General features: G+C 44.1%; 1 protein-coding gene across 2 annotated transcripts in view; it reads left to right on the top strand.

Moving 5' to 3' along the window:
* Positions 1-17,409, top strand: part of CFAP107 (cilia and flagella associated protein 107) — a 17,500-nt gene extending 91 nt beyond the window's left edge. Inside the window, exons 1-4 of one of the 2 annotated variants that reach the window (NM_152290.4) lie at positions 1-251; positions 9,410-9,523; positions 13,020-13,197; positions 14,480-17,409. The exon at positions 1-251 is cut by the window's left edge and continues 91 nt beyond it. In NM_152290.4, coding sequence (NP_689503.3) covers positions 141-251; positions 9,410-9,523; positions 13,020-13,197; positions 14,480-14,661 — 585 coding nt within the window. In that variant the 5' untranslated portion in view covers positions 1-140 and the 3' untranslated portion in view covers positions 14,662-17,409. The remainder of the gene's footprint in view (positions 252-9,409; positions 9,524-13,019; positions 13,198-14,479) is intronic. The other variant, NM_001330361.2, reaches the window with a different exon arrangement.
* The last annotated feature ends 929 nt before the right edge of the window (positions 17,410-18,338 follow it).

Raw genomic sequence — 18,338 nt, forward strand, 5'->3', positions numbered from 1 at the left:
AGTCATCTACTAGCCATTCAGGAGGCCAGCTGGGAAGACAAAATAGGCACCCCAAACTCAGCAACTTCATAACACCTTCCTCTCCCCGCCTGAAGCCTTAAACTGCATCAAGTCAAAGAAACCTGGGGCAAATCCTTAACATGTTTTTGACTGCAGTAAATCCACAGCCACTCTCTACTCCGAGCTGGCAGATTGAGACCAAGTATTCAACGAAAGTGCTCACTGGAAATTGGATGGAAGAGAGGAGAAAGGTAAGGAAACGAGAGAGGTTGGAGAGAGGGCTCAGAGGGACTGATGGGGAGAGGCAGGAGTGAAGTTCATCACTATTTTCAAATGGAGGGCAGCAGATGATTGCATCTTAAAAATGTGGCATTGGGGTCTCTGTGCTCTACAAAGGATAGTTACATTCAAGCAATCATCAATATTCACGCATTTTGCATGGTTTCTATGACTGTTTCATACATGATGGTTATCGAAAAGACCACTGACACTCTCTTACAGATATAACAGGGGCATTGAAAATACTGTAACAGGGTGTCAATATAGTCGTGCCTCTCAGCACTCTTCTCAGTGAAGTGTTTCTAGGCATCTGGATGTTTTCTGTCCTTAATTCCTTTGTACCTTAATTTGAAGAACATTTGCTCTCCTCATTCTGGCCCTTCCCAGAATATGGTATCTCCTGAGGCCAGCTTGCCACTCTCTGTGCTGATGTCCAGGGATTTGCTGCTGCTCTCTGGCACCTTTCCACAATCCTGCCCTACTAATGCATTTCAATTTTTACTTTTTTTTTTTTTTGAGACAGAGTCTCGCTCTGTTGCCCAGGCTAGAGTGCAGTGGCATGATCTCGGTTCACTGCAACCTTCACCTCCCAGGCTCAAGCGATTCTCTTGCCTCAGCCTCCCAAGTAGCTGGGACTACAAGTGCATGCCACCATGCCCAGCTAATTTTTTGTATTTTTAGTAGAGATGGGGCTTCACCATGTTGGCCAGGCTGGTCTTGAACTCCTGAGCTCAAGTGATGTGCCGACCTTGGCTTCCCCAAGTGCTGGGGTTACAGGCATGAGCCACTGTGCCTGGCCTCAATTTTTGCTTTCAAACAGAACAATTTGGCTCTTGGTTTTCCACTGTGTTTTAAAGGTCTTTGGAAAATACTTTGCCTGAGTTGGCAAAGTTTCAAGTTGGCATACTTGAAATTGAATATCTTCATTTGTGTTTGGCAAGACTGAGCCACTTAAAGCTTTTCAGAGACATCTAGACTTCCCCATGTCTTCTTGGGAAGTGGGCAAGGAAAAGAAGGTGAAATAGAATACTCAGCTTTGGTATGGGGAAAAGAAGGGAAGGTTAAAGGCTGTTTTCCTGGAGAACATTAGTAATCACCACCTCTCTGGCCAGATACAACCTTCAGTCATCATCAGCTACAAATGTACTTGGCCTTGTTTGGTGAGCAGGTGTGTGCAAGAGAAGTTCCAAAAGCAAGAAGGACTGGTTGAAAATACCTTCAGGTGCCCATGGGTGATGCAGTACTCAGGGATATTATGGGATGGTCTCACACCTAGAGAAGATTGCATAAAAATAGTGGAGTTGGAGTGATGTCAACAAGGTAGCAGACTAAGAAGCTCCAGGTTCTCATTCCCCATGGAAACATTAAAGAAAAAAGCACAAAAACGTTATAGGAGCTCTGGAAAACAGTCAAAGATATATAGCGACAAATCAAATGCCCAATCAAGAAAAAGACACATTCAAAATGAATAGGAAATTCCATGATGTTTTTACTTGTCCTCTCCTACTACCACCCCAGCACAGCACAGCATAGTCTGCATTTTAGGGTAAGTGGCAGCTCGGCTCCAAGTTCCCTCTTTCAAATCCAGAGTGAGTGGAGCAACATTTGAACCTGTCTGGGGCTGCCTGAGGGATTGCTCTCTATTTCGTCTAACTTGGAGCTCAGATGGGAAAAGGTGGCATGGTTCAGATCTCAGCTGGGAAAAGCCATGGAAAGCAATGATAGGCACAGCTAGTGAAAGCTGCCAGGGGATTACAGATCTATAAATATCTGGGGCAAGAGATTATGGATAGAGGAATACAATAGAACATCTGAAGTCGAAGAAGAAGCAGGGGTGAGACTTTTTTTTGGAAATTAAAACATTTAAAAGCAGCTGTGTATGTAGGGGAATTAAAAAAAAAAAAAAAAAAACCACACACAGGTCCAGGCAAGATGTACACCAGAAAAGAGTTGAGAATATTTTAAGCCTTCATGTTGGGCTGACCCCAAGACTCAGAACATTACCTGCTAGTTAGAAAAGGTCTTCCCTGCACAGAGTCAGTCTACAAATACTGGAAGATTTGGCTGCTTTTCAAACGCCCAATTTTCAACGAAAAATCACCAGACGTATGAAGATACAGAAAAAAAAAGTGGCCCATCCAAAGGAAGAAAATAAAGTGAGAGAATAAACACAAGCATCAAGGTACTAGTCAAATACTTTAAAACAACCATCTTAAATATGGACAAATAGGTAAAGGACACAAAGAACTAAAGTAAATCAGGAAAACAATACATGAGCAAAATGAGAATATTAAAAAGGAGATTGAAATTATAAAAAGGAGTCAAACCAGTTTTAGAGCTGAAAAATGCAATAACTGAATTGAAAAATTCAATAGAGGGATTCAGCAGCAGATTTGAATAGGCAGGAGAAAGAATCAGCAAATTTAAAGGCAGTGAACAGAGCCTAAGGGACTTATGGGACACTATGAAGCAGATTAATACATGCATTAAGGGAATTCCATAAGGAGAAGAGAGAGAGAAAGGGGCTAAAAGAGTATTTGAAAAAATAGTGATTAAAATCTTCCCAAATTTGAGTAAATACATAAATCTACAAATCCAAGAAGTTCAATGAACTCCAAGTATAAAAAATCTAAAGAGACCCTCATTGAAGCACTTTATAATTAAGATATTGAAACCCAAAAACAAAGAGAGAATCTTGAGAGCACTAGGAGAAAAGTAACTCATCAAGAACAATGGCTCCTCAGTGAGATTGTTATGGGATTGACAGATGTGGTGGCTCATGCCTGAATCTCAGCACTTTGGGAGGATAAGGCAGGTAGATTGCTTGAGCCCAGGAGTTCGAGACCAGCTGGGCAACATGGTAAAACCCTATGTCTACAAAAGATATACAAATTAGCTGGGCACAGTGGTATATGCCAATAGTCCTAGCTACTCAGGAGGCTGAGGTGGGAGGATCACCTGAGCCTGGGAGGTGGAGGTTCTAGTGAGCCGAAATCATGCCACTGCACTCCAGCCTGGGAAACAGAGTGAGAGTGAGGCCCTGTCTTAAAAAAACACAAAAAAACAAAAACAGATTATTAGGGATTTTCTCAGCAGAAACCTTGGAGCCTGGAAGGCAGTGGGATAATACATTTAAAGTGCTGGTAAAAAAAATACTGTTATCTGATAATTCTGTATTCCACAAAATTGTCTCTTGAAAAAGAGGGAGATGTTAAGACATTCCCAGATAAACAAAAGCTGAGGGTGTTTATTGACAGTAGACCTACCTTGCAAGGAAGACTAAAGAGAATCCTTCAAGTTGAAACAAAAGGACATTAGACAGTAACTTGAAGCTGTGCAAAAATATAAAGTTCTCCAGTAAAGGTAAATATGTAGACAAACTTAAAAGCCAGGATTATTATAATTTTGGGATGTAACTCTACTCTTTATTTTTGACAGAATTTAGAAGACAAATGCATAAAATTATAAATCTATGTAAATGAGTCTGCATTATATAAAGATGTAATTTGTGCCTTCAATAACATAAAGCAGAGGGAGGCAGAGCTATAAAAGAGTAGAGTTTTGGTATACAATTTCAGTTGGTCGCAATTTAAAATATGTTGTTATAACTGTAGGATATTGTGTATAATCCCCATGGGACCCACAAAGAAAATGCCTATAAAATATTCACAAAAGAAAATAATAAGGGAATCAAAATGTGGCCCTCAAAAATTAAACACAAAAGAAGATAGTAAGAGAACAAATAAGGGGCAAAAATCTACAAGACATACAGAAAACAAATACTAAAATGGCAAATATAAGTCCTTCCCTATCAGTAATCACTTTTAAATGTAAATGGATTAAACTTCCAAATGAAAGGCATACATTAGCAGAGAGATTTATAAAACAGGATCCAACTATATGCTGCCTACAAGAGAGTGACTATAGATTGAAGTACACATGTAAGTTGAAAGTGAAAGGAAGCAAAAAGATATTTTGTGCAAATAGTGCCAGAAGGGAGCAGGTATGGCTAGTATCAGACGAAGTAGGCTTTAGGTTAAAAACTATTATGAGACAAAGAGGGACACTATATATTGATAAAAGGGCCAATTCACCAAGAAGAAGGTACAATAGTTACACACATGTACACACCAAATATTAGAGCTCTGAAATAAATGAAGCAAAAATGGACAGAATTGAAGGGAGAAATAGATGGCTCTACAGTAATAGTAGAACAACCCTATAGATCAATTGGACCTGATAGGCACTCCACCCAACAAAGGCAGAATACGTGTGTTTTTTTTTTCTCAAGTACATATGGAATATTCTCCAGGATATACCATATGTTAGACTACAAAACAAGTTTTAATAAATTATAAAGATTAAAATCATACAAAGTATCTTTCCTGATCACAAATGAAATGAACTTAACGATTAATAGCAGAAGAAATACTGAAAAATCCACCAATATGTGGAAATTAAACAACACTGTTTTAAAAAAAATCAGTAAAGAGAAAAATCACAGAAAAATTAAAAAATAGTAATGAAAATACAACATACCAAAACTTATGGGAGGTAGTGAAAGTACTGTTAAGAGGGAAATTTACAGCTGTAAACACATTAAAAAAGAAGAAATATCTCAAATTAGAAACCTAGCTTTACACTTTAAGAAAACAGAAAAAAAAGAACAAACTAAATGCAAAGCTAGCAGAAGGAAGGAAATTAAATATTTAGAGAAGAGATAAGTAAAATAGGAAATAGGAAAACAACAGAAAAAATCAATAAAACCGAGTTGGGACCGGGCGCGGTGGCTCATGCCTGTAATCCCAGCACTTTGGGAGGCCGAGGTGGGTGGATCATCTGAGGTCAGGAGTTTGAGACCAGCCTGGCCAACATGGCGAAATCCCGTCTCTACCAAAAATACAAAAATTAGCTGGGTGTCGTGGTGCATGCCTGTAATTCCAACTACTAGGGAGACTGAGGCAGGAGAATTGCTTGAACCTGGGAGGCGGAGGTTTCAGTGAGCCGAGATTATACCACTGCACTCCAACCTGGGTGACAGACCGAGACTCCATCTCTAAACAAACAAGCAAGCAAACAAAGAGAAAACCAAATTGGTTTTTTGAAAAATCAATAAAATTTACAAATGATTATCTATATTGACTAACGGAAAAAAAGAGAAGAGATGCAAGTAACTAAAATTAGAAATGAAAGTGTAAAATAATTACCAACTTTTTTCTGACATAAAAAGATAATAAGAGAATACTGTGAACAATTTATGCTAACAATTGGAATATTTATATAATTCTCCATGAAATGGAGAAATTCCAAGAAATATACAATCTATCGAGACTGAATTATAAAGAAATAGAAAATCTGAATAGATCTATAACTAGTGAAGAGATTGAATTAGTAACCAAAAATCTCCCAACAAAGGAAAGCCTAAGACCAAATGACTTCAGTGGTGAATTCTAACAAATATTTTGAAAAGAATTAACATCAGTCCTTCTCAAATGCTTCCAGAATATTGAAGAGGAAGAAATAAATTCTAACTAATTTTATGAGCTCAGCATTACCCTGATACTAAAGGCGAAGACATCACAAGAAAAGAAAACTACAAACCAATATTCCTTATGAATATTGATGCAAAAATCCTCAAGCAAATAGTAGAAACCCCCATTCAATATTATATTAAAAGGGTTATAGACACCATGACCAAGTGAGATTCCTTCCTGGAATGCAAGAATGGTTCAGGGCTGGGCATAGTGGCTCATGCCTGTAGTCCCAGCACTTTGGGAAGCCAAGGCAGGCAGATCAGTTGAGGTCATGAGTTTGAGACCAGCCTGGCCAACATGATGAAACCTTGTCCCTACAAAAAATACAAAAATTAGCTGGGCATAGTGGCATGTGCCTGTAGTCCCAGCTTGAAAATTGCTTGAACCTGAGAGGTGGAGGTTGCAGTGAGCCAAGATCTCACCACTGCACTTCAGCCTGGCCGACTCTGTCTAAAAAAAAAAAAAAAAAAAAAAAAAAATTAATATATAAAAATTAACCAATATACTAGAATGAAGGAAAAAAAGACATGATCATCACAATGTAGAAAAAGCATTGTGCAAAATTAAACTTCTTTTTATAAAGAAAAGCATTTGACAAACTAGGCATAGAAGGAAACTGCCTCAACATAGTAACAAAAACCCACAGCTAACATAATACCCAATGGTGAAAGATTGAAAGCTTTTCCTTTAAGATTAGGAATAAGACAAAAATGCCAGCCTTTTCCACTTTTGTTCAACATAGTGCTGGAAGTTCTAGCCAGAAAAATTAGGAAAGAAAAGGAAAAGCTTCCAAATTGGAAAGGAAAATGTAAAATTTTCTCTCTTTTCGCAGATGGCATGATTTTATATACAGGAAACCTCTAATGATTTTATATATAGGAAACACACACACATGCACCCATACACAAACTGTTAGAACTAATAAATGAGTTAAGCAAAGTATGCAAAAGTTGATTGTGTTTGTAAACACTAACAGTGAACTCTGAAAAGGAAATTAAGAAAATTCCATTTACAGTAACATCAAAAAATAAAGTATTTAAGAGTAGACTTAACCAAGGAGATGAAAGACTTATATACATTGAACACTACAAAACACTGCTGAAAAATATAAAGAGGACATAAATAAATGGAATGACACCCTGTGTTCATGGATGGAAGACTTAATATTGTTAAGATATCAATACTACACAAAGCTATCTACAGATTCAATGCAATCATTATCAAAACCCCAGTAAAGGTTTTTTTTTTTTGCAGACATAAAATCCATCCTAAAATTCATATAAAATCTCAAGAGACTCCAAATGGCCAAAACAATCTTGAAAAAAAGAACAAAATTGGAAGACTCACATGTCTCAGTTTCAAAACTTACTAAAAGCTACAGTAATCAAGACAGTGTGATACTGGCATACAGATAGATACATAGACCTATAGAACAAAAGAGAGAGCCTAGAAATAAACATTTGTATATACGGTCAAATGACTCTTGACGAGGATGCTAAACCTGTTCAATGGGGGAAAGGACAATTTCTTCAATAAATGGTGTTCAGTAAAGTGGATATCTAGGTGCGAAAAAATAAAGTTAGACCCTTCCCTAATTCCATATACAAAACTGAACTCAAAGTGGATCAGAGACCTGGATGAGACCTAAAACTACAAAACTCTTAGAAGAAAACATAGGGGGCTGGGTGTGGTGACTCATGCCAGTAATCCCAGCACTTTGAGAGTCTGAGGCAGGAGGACTGCTTGAGGAAAGGAGTTCAAGACCAGCCTAGGCGACACAGCAAGAACTTATCTCTCTCTTTTTTTTTAATTAAATAAAAAAAGAAGAAAACATCGGGGAAAATTCTCATGACATTGGCTTTAGCAAGAATTTCTTGATGTGACACCAAAAGCACAGGCAACACAAGAAAAAAATAATAAACTGGACGTCATCAAAACAAAAAACTTTGTGCCTCAAAGGACACTAACAACAGAGTAAATGACAACCAATGGAGTAGGAGAGAATATTTGCAAATCATATATCTGATAAGGGACTAATATCCAGAATATGTAAAGGACTTCTATAACTCAACAATAGCCAAAGACAAGCAACCTGATTAAAAAATGACAAAGGAGCTGAATAGGTATTTCTCCAAAGAAGATGTACAAATGGCCAATAAACACATAAACATAGTCAACCTCACTGATTATTAGGGAAATCCAAATCAAAATTACAATGAGATACCACTTCACCCTTTAGTATGGCTAGTATCAAAAAACAGAAAATATCAAGTGTTGGTGAGGATATGAAGAAATGGGCACCCTTGTGCCCTAAATGGTACTGCCACTGTGGAAAACAATATGGGAGTTCCCAAAAAAAATTAGACATAGAATTACCATATGATCCAGCAATTACACTTCTGGTTGTATGCCTAAAAGAATCGAAAGCAGGGACTCAAAAAGATATTTGTACATTCACATTAATAGTAACTATTCACAGTAACCAAAAGTTGGATGCAACCCAAGTACCCACTGATGGATGAATGGATAAACAAAACATGGTGTAAGTGTATCATGGAATATAATCAAACCTTAAAAAGGAAGAAGATTCTGACACATGCTATCAAATGGATGAATTTGGAAGACATTATACTAAGTGAGCTAAGACAGACACAGAAGGACAAACATTGTGTGATTCTACTTACATAGGGTGCCTGTAACAGGCAAGTTCATACAGAGAAAGTAGAGTGATGGTAGCAAGGGGCTGCAGTGACAGGAGAATGGAGAGTTGGTGCTTAACGGTCACAGAGTTTCAGTTTTGCAATGTAAGTAAAGTTCTAGAGATGGATGGTGGTGATGATTGCACAACAGCGTGAATGTCACTGAACCGTAGAGTTGAAAATGGCTAAAATGGTAAATACATTTTATGTTGAATATATTTTACCATATTAAACTTTAAGAAAACTAATTAGAGAACAAAATGTAATTTGAAAGGTGAGAGAGTTGGAAAGAATGAGGAACAAAGAAGAGAAAGAAAGGGAGGGCCGGGCACAGTGGCTCATGCCTGTAATCCCAGCACTTTGGGAGGCCGAGGCACGTGGATCACAAGGTTGAGAGATCGAGACCATCCTAGCCAACATGGCAAAACGCCCTCTCTTCTGAAAATACAAAAATTAGCTGGGCATGGCGGCCCATGCCTGTAATCCCAGCTACTCAGGAGGCTGAGACAGGGGAATTGCTTGAACCCGAGAGGCAGAGGTTGCAGTGAGCCGAGATTGCGCCACTGCACTCCAGCCTGGTGACAGAGTGAGACTCCATGTCCAAAAAAAAAAAGGAGGAGGCAAAGAGGAGAGAAGAGCAGGGAGAGAGAAGATGAGAAAGGACACAGGTGCGGATGATGAGGTGACCAGGGGAGCCAATGACAGCTCTTCCCGGGGGTGCCGGATGGCAGGCTCCCCGTCCCCGAGCAAGCTCTTTCCTGTGTTGGGCAGGGTGTCCAGGGGTTTATATTTACCTTTTCCCTACCCATCTTCTGATGGCCCAGGAGGTAAGGGGACCCAGCAGAAGTTTGAGAAGTGGCATCTCAGAGGTTTTCCTGAATATTTGGTCTTTTCCAGTTCACCAGAGACACTGACAAGACACCCCAATCCATTTACAGAAAAGAATACATCCCCTTCCCAGACCACAGACCAGACCAGATCTCCAGGTGGTATGGGAAGAGGAAAGTTGAGGTAAGAGGGAGTGGCAACTGGGACACTCAGGCCTGGACCCCACCCAAAGCTCAGGGGACACCAGCCAGCTTCTTATAGGCTTAGTACCGTCTTGGGGGAAATCAGGAGTAGTCTCATTAATACCCTCCCAGCCCGGGGGCTGCAGATAGCACTAACCAATAATTACCTGTGTGGGCTGATGATCTGTTTAATGTCAAACTGGTAGCATTCCCTCCAACCTATATCCCAGCACCTGGATCACACTCTTCCAACAGAATATAGGCAAAGAATGCAAGAAATAGCAACCAAAGGTAAATGATGCATATAGTCAGGAATCACATAAGGCACTGCAAAAGCAGCTGGCAGTGATGTATTTGGACAAACAGTGTTGTGTATTATCTGTGCTCCAGCTTCCTGTTCTTTCGCATGAAAAGTCAAGCACCATCCACACACCGTATTGACTGGGCACTTGTCTAGGAATCATGGTGTTCCAGGTGTTGGAAGCAGAGAGCAGGGCATTGCAACCTCAGAACATGCCCTCCACACCCAAGGAGGGGCATTTGAGACTATTATTATCTTTAGCAATCCCACTAGTGAGTATGTAGGAGACAATTATTAACTTGGTGTGCCAGAGGCTGAGATCCTGGCCCTTCCAGGAACAGCAGGGAAAGCCGTCTCCTGCAATAACCCCTGTGGGTAGCTCCCAGCAGGCACAGCCTGGGGAGAGCAAGCTTGTAGGTGCTCACCCACTGGGTGTGCAGCTGTGCTCTGTCCCCACCACACTCTGGGAGTTCCCTTGAGTTGTTTCTTTTGCCAGCCTGCTGCTCTTATAAGCGATTTCTGTCTCCCCACTCCCACCCCACCTGACCCTACTATACCTGCTTCAACTCAGGGTGGCAGCAGACAGACATGGATTAAGGTAGTGGACATCTTTTGGAATTGGGGCATTTTAGTGCTTGGAGGGACCCAAGAGATTCATTCAGCTCAGCGGCCCGAGGTGTGAAGTGGCTTTTTCAAAGCTGTGTGGCTTGTTGTTAGGGATGAAGCAAGTTGCTGCTCTGCAAATCAGGCAAAGAGTGTCCTCAGATTCCATTCCTCATCTGCCAGAGTCGCCTATTTGCATTCTGCATTTAGGGATCCATGTCAGGATAAGCAGCAACAGATTTTCAGCTCTGTGCTGGCAACCCCAGATGACTCCCTCATCCTCAGACCACACTGACATCTCCAAGCAAGCTGATGCTCTGGGGCTGCTGAGCTTCACCAGCAGTGCGCATTAAAGACACAAATGAATTTTAACATAAACAAGTCAAAGTTAGAACCCAGGATCTGGGGCTCTCAGCCTCTAACCATCCATGTATGTGAGGTATTGACCCTAGTTTTCAGTGCATTGCAGAACATTTAGATAGCCTTTGGACCCATTACAAGCTCTGACTAAGAGTTTAACATACAGTCTGGTTAAAATTAAGAACTCCACCCACCACCCCCCCGCATTGTCATCTCCAACAGAACAGACGATGGAATATTCATTTCTTTTTTTCTTTTCTTTTCTTTTCTCTTTTCTTTTCTTTCTTTTTCTTTTTTTTCCTTTTTTTCTTTTCTTTTTTTTTGAGATAGAGTCTCTCTCTGTCCCCCAGGCTAGAGTGCAGTGGTGTGATGTTGGCTCACTGAAACCTCAGCCTCCTGGGTTGGAACAATTCTCCTTGCCTCAGCCTTCCAAGTAGCTGGGATTACAGGTGTGTGCCAACACAGCTGGCTAATTTTTTTTGTATTTTTAGTAGAGATAGGGTTTTGCCATGTTGGTCAGGCTAGTCCTGAACTCCTGGTCTCAAGTAATCTGCCCACCTTGGCCTCTCAAACTGCTGGGATTACAGGCGTGAGCCACGGCACCTGGCCCTGAATATTTATTTTTAAGGTTTCTGTTCAAATTGCCTGCTTGTGGGATGGGGCCCTGAACATAACCCTGCTTCCACACAGCTGCTTCAACTCTGTCAGCTCTTCTGTTTGCTTCATGTTGCCCTCCTTCTCCTAGGACAGCTTCCTCCTCCATCTCCCACTCCCACTTTGCTCTTCCTTGTTAGGCAAAAATGACTCCAAAGCCCGTATCCCCAACCGCCTCCTTTATCTAATTCTCACATACCAAGCCAATATTTCCTCTGCCTTAAATCACCCCAGGGCCAAGTAGTGGACACTAGAGACCTCCCCTAGGGCCCAGAGCCCACAAAAACTATTCACACTATCCAGTCCTAAACTTGTCCACCGTGCCTCGCCCAATGGTTCCCATGGAAACCACAGTAAAGGCTCTGGGCCCTGCCCCTCCACCTTGTTCCTTCTGCCTCCCGACCAGAGACCAATGCTGGTTCTTCCTGATGTGGCCCTGCAGGGCATGGCGTGCCCTTCCTCTTGAGAACTGTAAGTAACAAGCTCTCCTTTCAAAGGTAGCTGTCTCTGTGGCTGTCACTTTCCCAAACCCTAATAAGGAAAAATCCCAGGCATACAGTAAAGACACACCCCAAATCAAGAGAAACTGCAAGAAAATTCCTCCTGGCCTCTCTACCTCCCATGCCACGAGGCTGCTTCTGCAATTCCCTTTGTTGATGGGAAACCCTCCAAGTCACTTTGGCATTAGAAATACACTATGGGGTACCTGGTGATGTGGATCTTGGGAATCCTGCTTAATGTCTGTGCCCACCCCCCTTGTCTTCCTCTGGCATTGTGATCTGACTTATTTATGGGGCCACCACTTGAAATATTGGGTGCAGCCGGCATTTCCAGACCATAGCAGACACAGGCCTCCCTGTCTGCTCCAGACAAGAGGGCAAGCATGGAAATCAACATTATGCCCCCTTGTAAGTCAGTGCAGATCCCCAGGATTCCCTTCTGGGCCCAAGAGGATTTTCTTAGGAAAAGCACTGATTCAGGCAAACATCCCAGAGTAAGGAGAACATGGCTTTCTTCTCACTGTAAATTACTCCTCACCAAAGAAATCACTCCCCTAGTTTCCAGCTGAGCAAGCTGTAAATCCTGTGCAAGAGAAGGCAATTTATGGGGTGTTCTCTGATTCTTCCCACAGTAACAGACTGAAATATAAGGCATACATGTCAGGCTGGCTTTCACCATCTTGTCCTTGCCCTTAGGAACAGGCTTGGATTCATGAGACTTGAGACAAATCAGGCTGCAATTTCAGATCACAAGTGAGGTGGTGCTGACTCTTCCCATTCAGCAGGATGTCCTGGCTTTAATTTTAATGTGCCACCATAGCTCATTCTAGGAATGAATTGACTTGGCATGGGACCGGCCATACAGAGAACTAACTGCAGCCAGCTGGGATGTGTTTGAATGTGGGATGCCTCAGAGTGGGATAAACAAGTGTGTTTCTGAAGACCCTTTGCCAGCCCACGGATGCCCGCTCTCTCCATCAGCACCACAGACCCCTACATGTGGCAGCTCCTGTCTCCACCATGGCCAGGTGGATGCTTCGCTCCTATCAGTAACGAGCCCACTGTGTCTGTCCTTCCAGGGGCTACCTTACAAACACCTGATCACCCACCACCAGGAGCCCCCACATCGCTACCTGATCAGCACCTATGACGACCATTACAACCGGCATGGTTACAACCCGGGGCTGCCTCCACTCCGCACTTGGAATGGACAGAAGTTGCTGTGGCTGCCAGAGAAGTCTGACTTTCCCCTTCTTGGTACCTTTATAATTCAGGGTATTCCTCTGCGTTGGTCTGTAAAGTTGCACAGACCAACGGAGCTGTACCTGCCTCATGCAGAAGGAGCCACACAGGTGACCCTGGCTCCAGGAGAGCAGCGGATGACATAGTAGGGGCTGAGTTCTATTGTACCCTCAGGGCTGCCTCCTGTCCTTTCCCTTTGACCTGGGGTAATCTTGGCTGTGTAATGAAGCCATCACCTGTGCCCCATGGTGGCGGGCTTAGAGCACAGGTGGCAGGGAGCAACATCCACGCATCCTTCCTCCCAGTCTTATTTACTACATGAATAATGACAATATTTCCCAGGTAGTGCTCCCTGCTGCAATGATAACAAACACTGAGGAATTTCTGGACTCGGGGAGTTGACATTCCAGGGGGGAAACAGATAAGACACCATTAAAAAGTAAGAACACTTAAGATCACATAGATAATTTTAGACAGGAGTGTGCGCTATAAAGAAAACAGGTAATGGAGAGAAAGTGAGGTGGTGAATTTGTGAACCTCCTTTGGTTCACAAATTCCTCCTTGGAAAAGTGAGGGGTGGTCTTTGTTGAGGAGATAGAGTTGAATTGGGAAGAAGGGAGCCATACAGGGATTGAGGGGGAGGACATTCCAGAGGAAGGAACAGTAAATGAAAAAGTTCTAAGGCAGGAATGGAGGAGGATCATGTAGGGGTTCATAGGGCACAGTGAAGGGAATGAAATTTGTCCTATCCACAATCCCAAGACTTGGAATGCACTTTTGTAGGAGAGTGCCTTGATGTGATTTACATTTCAAGCCACGTCCACACTAGTGAGGACACAGAGCAGTGCCAGCTCTTTGTGGTCCTACCTTTTGATGCAAAGGGACACAGGTCAGAGGATGAGCTGCTGGTCACTCTGCATTACTTTTGCATGGGATTCTTCTCAACATCACTCTCAGTGCACACAGCTTCCTTCCCGACAGGGGTGGGACAATTACTCAGGACCAGCGAGGCCACGCACAACCACACCATGGGGCTGACTTTTCCAAGGCCCCCGTGGCAGAGCCTGATCTCCCCTGAGCACTTGGGATGCAGGTGCACCTTGAGACCGCCAGGGGCTGGCTGAACCAATGCTCTCTGCAAGGCTCTTCCCTGTGGGCCTCTGCCAGCCTTGGTCCCTGACAGAGCAGCCTGGGAAAATCTCCAGGGCCCCTGCTGCCCAGTCTCGTGGCCATTGGCCATTTAGAGCAAGACTCCTTCTGTAAGCCCCATTCAACTGGACCCTGGTTTCTCTTGCAGCTCCCCCTACAAACTATGGACTCTATGAGCAGCTCAAGCAGAGACAGCTCACACCCAAGGCTGGCCTGAAGCAGAGCACTTATACTTCATCCTACCCCAGACCACCGTTGTGCGCTATGTCCTGGAGGGAGCATGCGGTCCCGGTCCCTCCCCATCGCCTGCATCCTCTCCCACACTTCTGAGAGCTGCCACCCCAGGAGCAGCTCAGATAGAATCAGCTGGAGACCACAGCATCACTGGACTTGCCAGACAACAAGTGGCGCAGATAAACTCAGAGTACGAGATCTGGCCCGTCAAAGGTGCTCTCAGAATCATCATCTGCATTTGGCGGTACCTGTCCCCCCTCAAAACCCACAGGTTCCTTTCTTTTCCATCCAACAATTAAAGATCTTTGACACTATTGCAGGGCTATGTACGTGCACAAGACAGATTCAGACTGTCAGAGAAAACAGGAAGGGCCCTTAAGTTCTACCCTGTTGTTTCACAAGAGGGGAAACTGAGGCCCGGAGAGGTAATGTGACTTGCTGAAGAGTCTACTCCCATGGAGGAAATGAATCTGATGATGAAACCCATCATGAAAACTCCACAGAATGACTGAATGTGGTTCCCAGGAGGGCAGTGCTGCAGAGCTGGCAATGGGGAAGGACCCCAGCTTGTCTGTCATTGCCAAGGCAGAGGAAGGCGTGCTCTGGCCCCACGGGGCTCAGAAGAAGGGGAAAACACATGGCATTTCCTTTGTCTCTGAGCTCGCAAATCTTTGTGTTTTTTTTTTTGTTTTTTTTTTTGAGACGGAGTGTCGCTCTCTTGCCCAGGCTGGAGTGCCGTGGCACGATCTCAGCTCACTGCAACCTCTGCCTCCAGGGTTCAAGCGATTCTTTTGCCTCAGCCTCCTGAGTAGCTGGGACTACAGGTGCGCACCACTACGCCTGGCTAATTTTTGTATTTTTAGTAGAGACAGGGTTTCACAATGTTGGCCAGGCTGGTCTCGAACTCCTGACCTCGTGATCCGCCTGCCTCGGCCTCCCAAAGTGCTGGGATTAGCAGGCGTGAGCCACCGCACCTGGCTGAGCTCTCAAATCTTTATGAGCCTGGGCAGAGGGGAGAACCTCTGGTGAGTGATTTGGGAGAGAGGGTGGATCTCCTAGCAGAAGAACTCAGGCATGGTCCTCGCCCAGGACAGGGGTCCACAAGTGTGCATGCTCAGTGCTCGCACAGAGCTGCCTCTTTGAAGAAATTCCAGCAGACACCTTTGGCCCTTTGCATGCTTGGCTCATGGGCACAGGTGTGTTTTGTCAGTGATTTTGTACTGCACACCAATAATATGACTCCCAGTATGGGAGCCTGAGTCTCTGCCATTGTTTTCACAGGATACCTGCTGGCCTCAGGCCACCTACCTTAGGGTCACTTTGGCACCTACTAAGTTCCTTCCTTAGTCATCCAAGTGTCCATGTAAGGACGCTGTCTTCCATCCCAACTGAAAGTCAGAGCCTGACACAGGCTAAGTCCTCTATGTTTGTTGGATGAGTGAATGACAGGAGTTGAACAAATGAGTTGAATGAATGAATGACAGGAGGAGGAGCCAGGGGGTGCAGAAAGGTTGCACCTACCTTAGGGTCACTTTGGCACCTACTAAGTTCCTTCCTTAGTCATCCAAGTGTCCATGTAAGGACGCTGTCTTCCATCCCAACTGAAAGTCAGAGCCTGACACAGGCTAAGTCCTCTATGTTTGTTGGATGAGTGGATGACAGGAGTTGAACAAATGAGTTGAATGAATGAATGACAGGAGGAGGAGCCAGGGGGTGCAGAAAGGTTGCTGCAGGAGACAGCTGTGGGATGGAGTGGAGCTGGCTGTCCTCACACCTCCAACATCCAGCCTTTCTATTGAGCATCCATTGAGCCATGTCTGGGCCAGGCCCTGACCTCACAGAGCCTCAGTCCAGCAGTCAGGGAGGAGCATGAGGTAAATGGCTGCAGGACAGAGAGGTGCTGCAGCTGGAGGCCCTGGGGGACAGCGATGGATTGCGAGGAGTGAGGGAGACCCAGGATATGCTAAGCAGGGGCGTCTAATCTTTTGGCTTCCCTGGGCTACATTGGAAGAAGAATTGTCTTGGGCCACACATAAAAAAATGAACAGGGGCTGGGCGCAGTGGCTCATGCCTGTAATTCCAGCACTTTGGGAGGCCTATATGGGCGGATCACCTGAGGTCAGGAGTTTGTGACTAGCCTGTCTAGCACAGTGAAACACTGTCTCTATTAAAAATACAAAAATGAGCTGGCATAGTGGTTCATGCCTGGAATCCCAGCTACTCCAGAGGCTGAGGCAGCAGAATCGCTTGAACCCAGGAGGCGGAGGTTTCAGTGAGACCAGATGGTACCACTGCACTCCAGCCTTGGTGACAGAGTGAGACTCCATCCCAAAAACAACAACAACAACAACAAACTTACACTAACGGTAGCTGATGAGCTAAAAAAAAAATCGCGTAAAAAAACCCCATAATGTTTTAAGTAAGTTTACAAATTTATGTTGGGCCACATTCAGCCTGCAGGCGGAGGGTTGGACAAGCTTGTGCGAAAGTAAAGGATGTCATGAGAGCAACGGGCAGGGGTTGACGGATGATGAATGAAGACCTGGCCTGCCTAGGTAGGGCCAGGGAGAATCAGGTAGGTCAAGGCCAGAAAGCTGAGGGAGATTACCCAGCTGAAGGGACAGGTTGGGAGGGAAGAGAGGGTGGCTTGGGCCATGGGGGCAACACGTTTGAAGTCTCTGACTTGGGAAGAAGCTGAGCAAATTCCTTAAAAGTCCAGAAAGACCATGCATTGGTCTCCTATTGCTGCTGGAACAAAATACCACAAACTCAGTGCCCTAAAGCAACACATGTTTATTTGACAGTTCTTATTATAAATGTGAATAAATGCACATTTATTCAGAATATCACAAGCTCAGTGCTTTAAAACAACACACATTTATCCTCTTGCAGTTCTCTTATGGGTAAGAGTCTACAGTGGTCCCCAGGGCTGCGTTGCTTCTAGAGGGTCTGGGGCAAATTGTTCCCTTGTCTTTTCCAGCTTCTAGGGCACATCACCGCTCCCATCTTATGGCGCCATCAGCTTGTCGAGAGCCAGCAGTGTAGCCTTCCTTCCTCTCTGTCTCCCCTTACAAGGATCCTTGTGACCACACTGCGCTCCCTGGATAAGCCAAGATAACCCCTTTCTCAAGATCCTTAATTTAATCACACCTATAAAATTCCTTCTGAATCTTAACTAACATAGTCACAGATTCCAGAATGAGGATATGGACATTCTAGAAGGGACGAGGAGAGAAGAGTTCTGTGCACTTGACACCTGCTCAGTCACTGACCCCTCCCCCCACCCCCAATGAATCTGGTCCTTTCCAGGCAGCTGGGATGGTCAAGGGGCAGGGGCAGGGGGAATCCGATGAGGGCCACAGACTGTGACTGCCCTCACCTGGTCAGCACTGCTTCACCTTCCATCCACACGTATTAAAAAGTCACTGTGAATGTGAGAGTGACTAGAAACTCTTGAGCAGGAGTATTGTTTTCAAGGTCCACGATGCAACCAGTTACACAAGATGGGGTGCACAACCAATAGCAGAGGCTCCAGTTGACCAGGGCGGAGGCTCTCCCCAGCTGTTCCCAAAGCAATATCAAGCAGGTGAGAGTCTATTTCCTACAGTCCTGCTTCAACCCAACCAGTGGTTCTCAAACCCAACCAGTGAGCCACATTAGCTTCACCTGGGGGGCTTGTTGAAACACAGATGCTAGGCCCATCCCCTGAGCTTCGGAATTAGAAGGTCTCAGGTGGGGCTGACAAGCTGGAATTTTAATGAGTTCCCATGGGA

Source organism: Homo sapiens, chromosome 1, assembly GCF_000001405.40.
Source record: "Homo sapiens chromosome 1, GRCh38.p14 Primary Assembly".
NCBI lineage: Eukaryota > Metazoa > Chordata > Mammalia > Primates > Hominidae > Homo > Homo sapiens.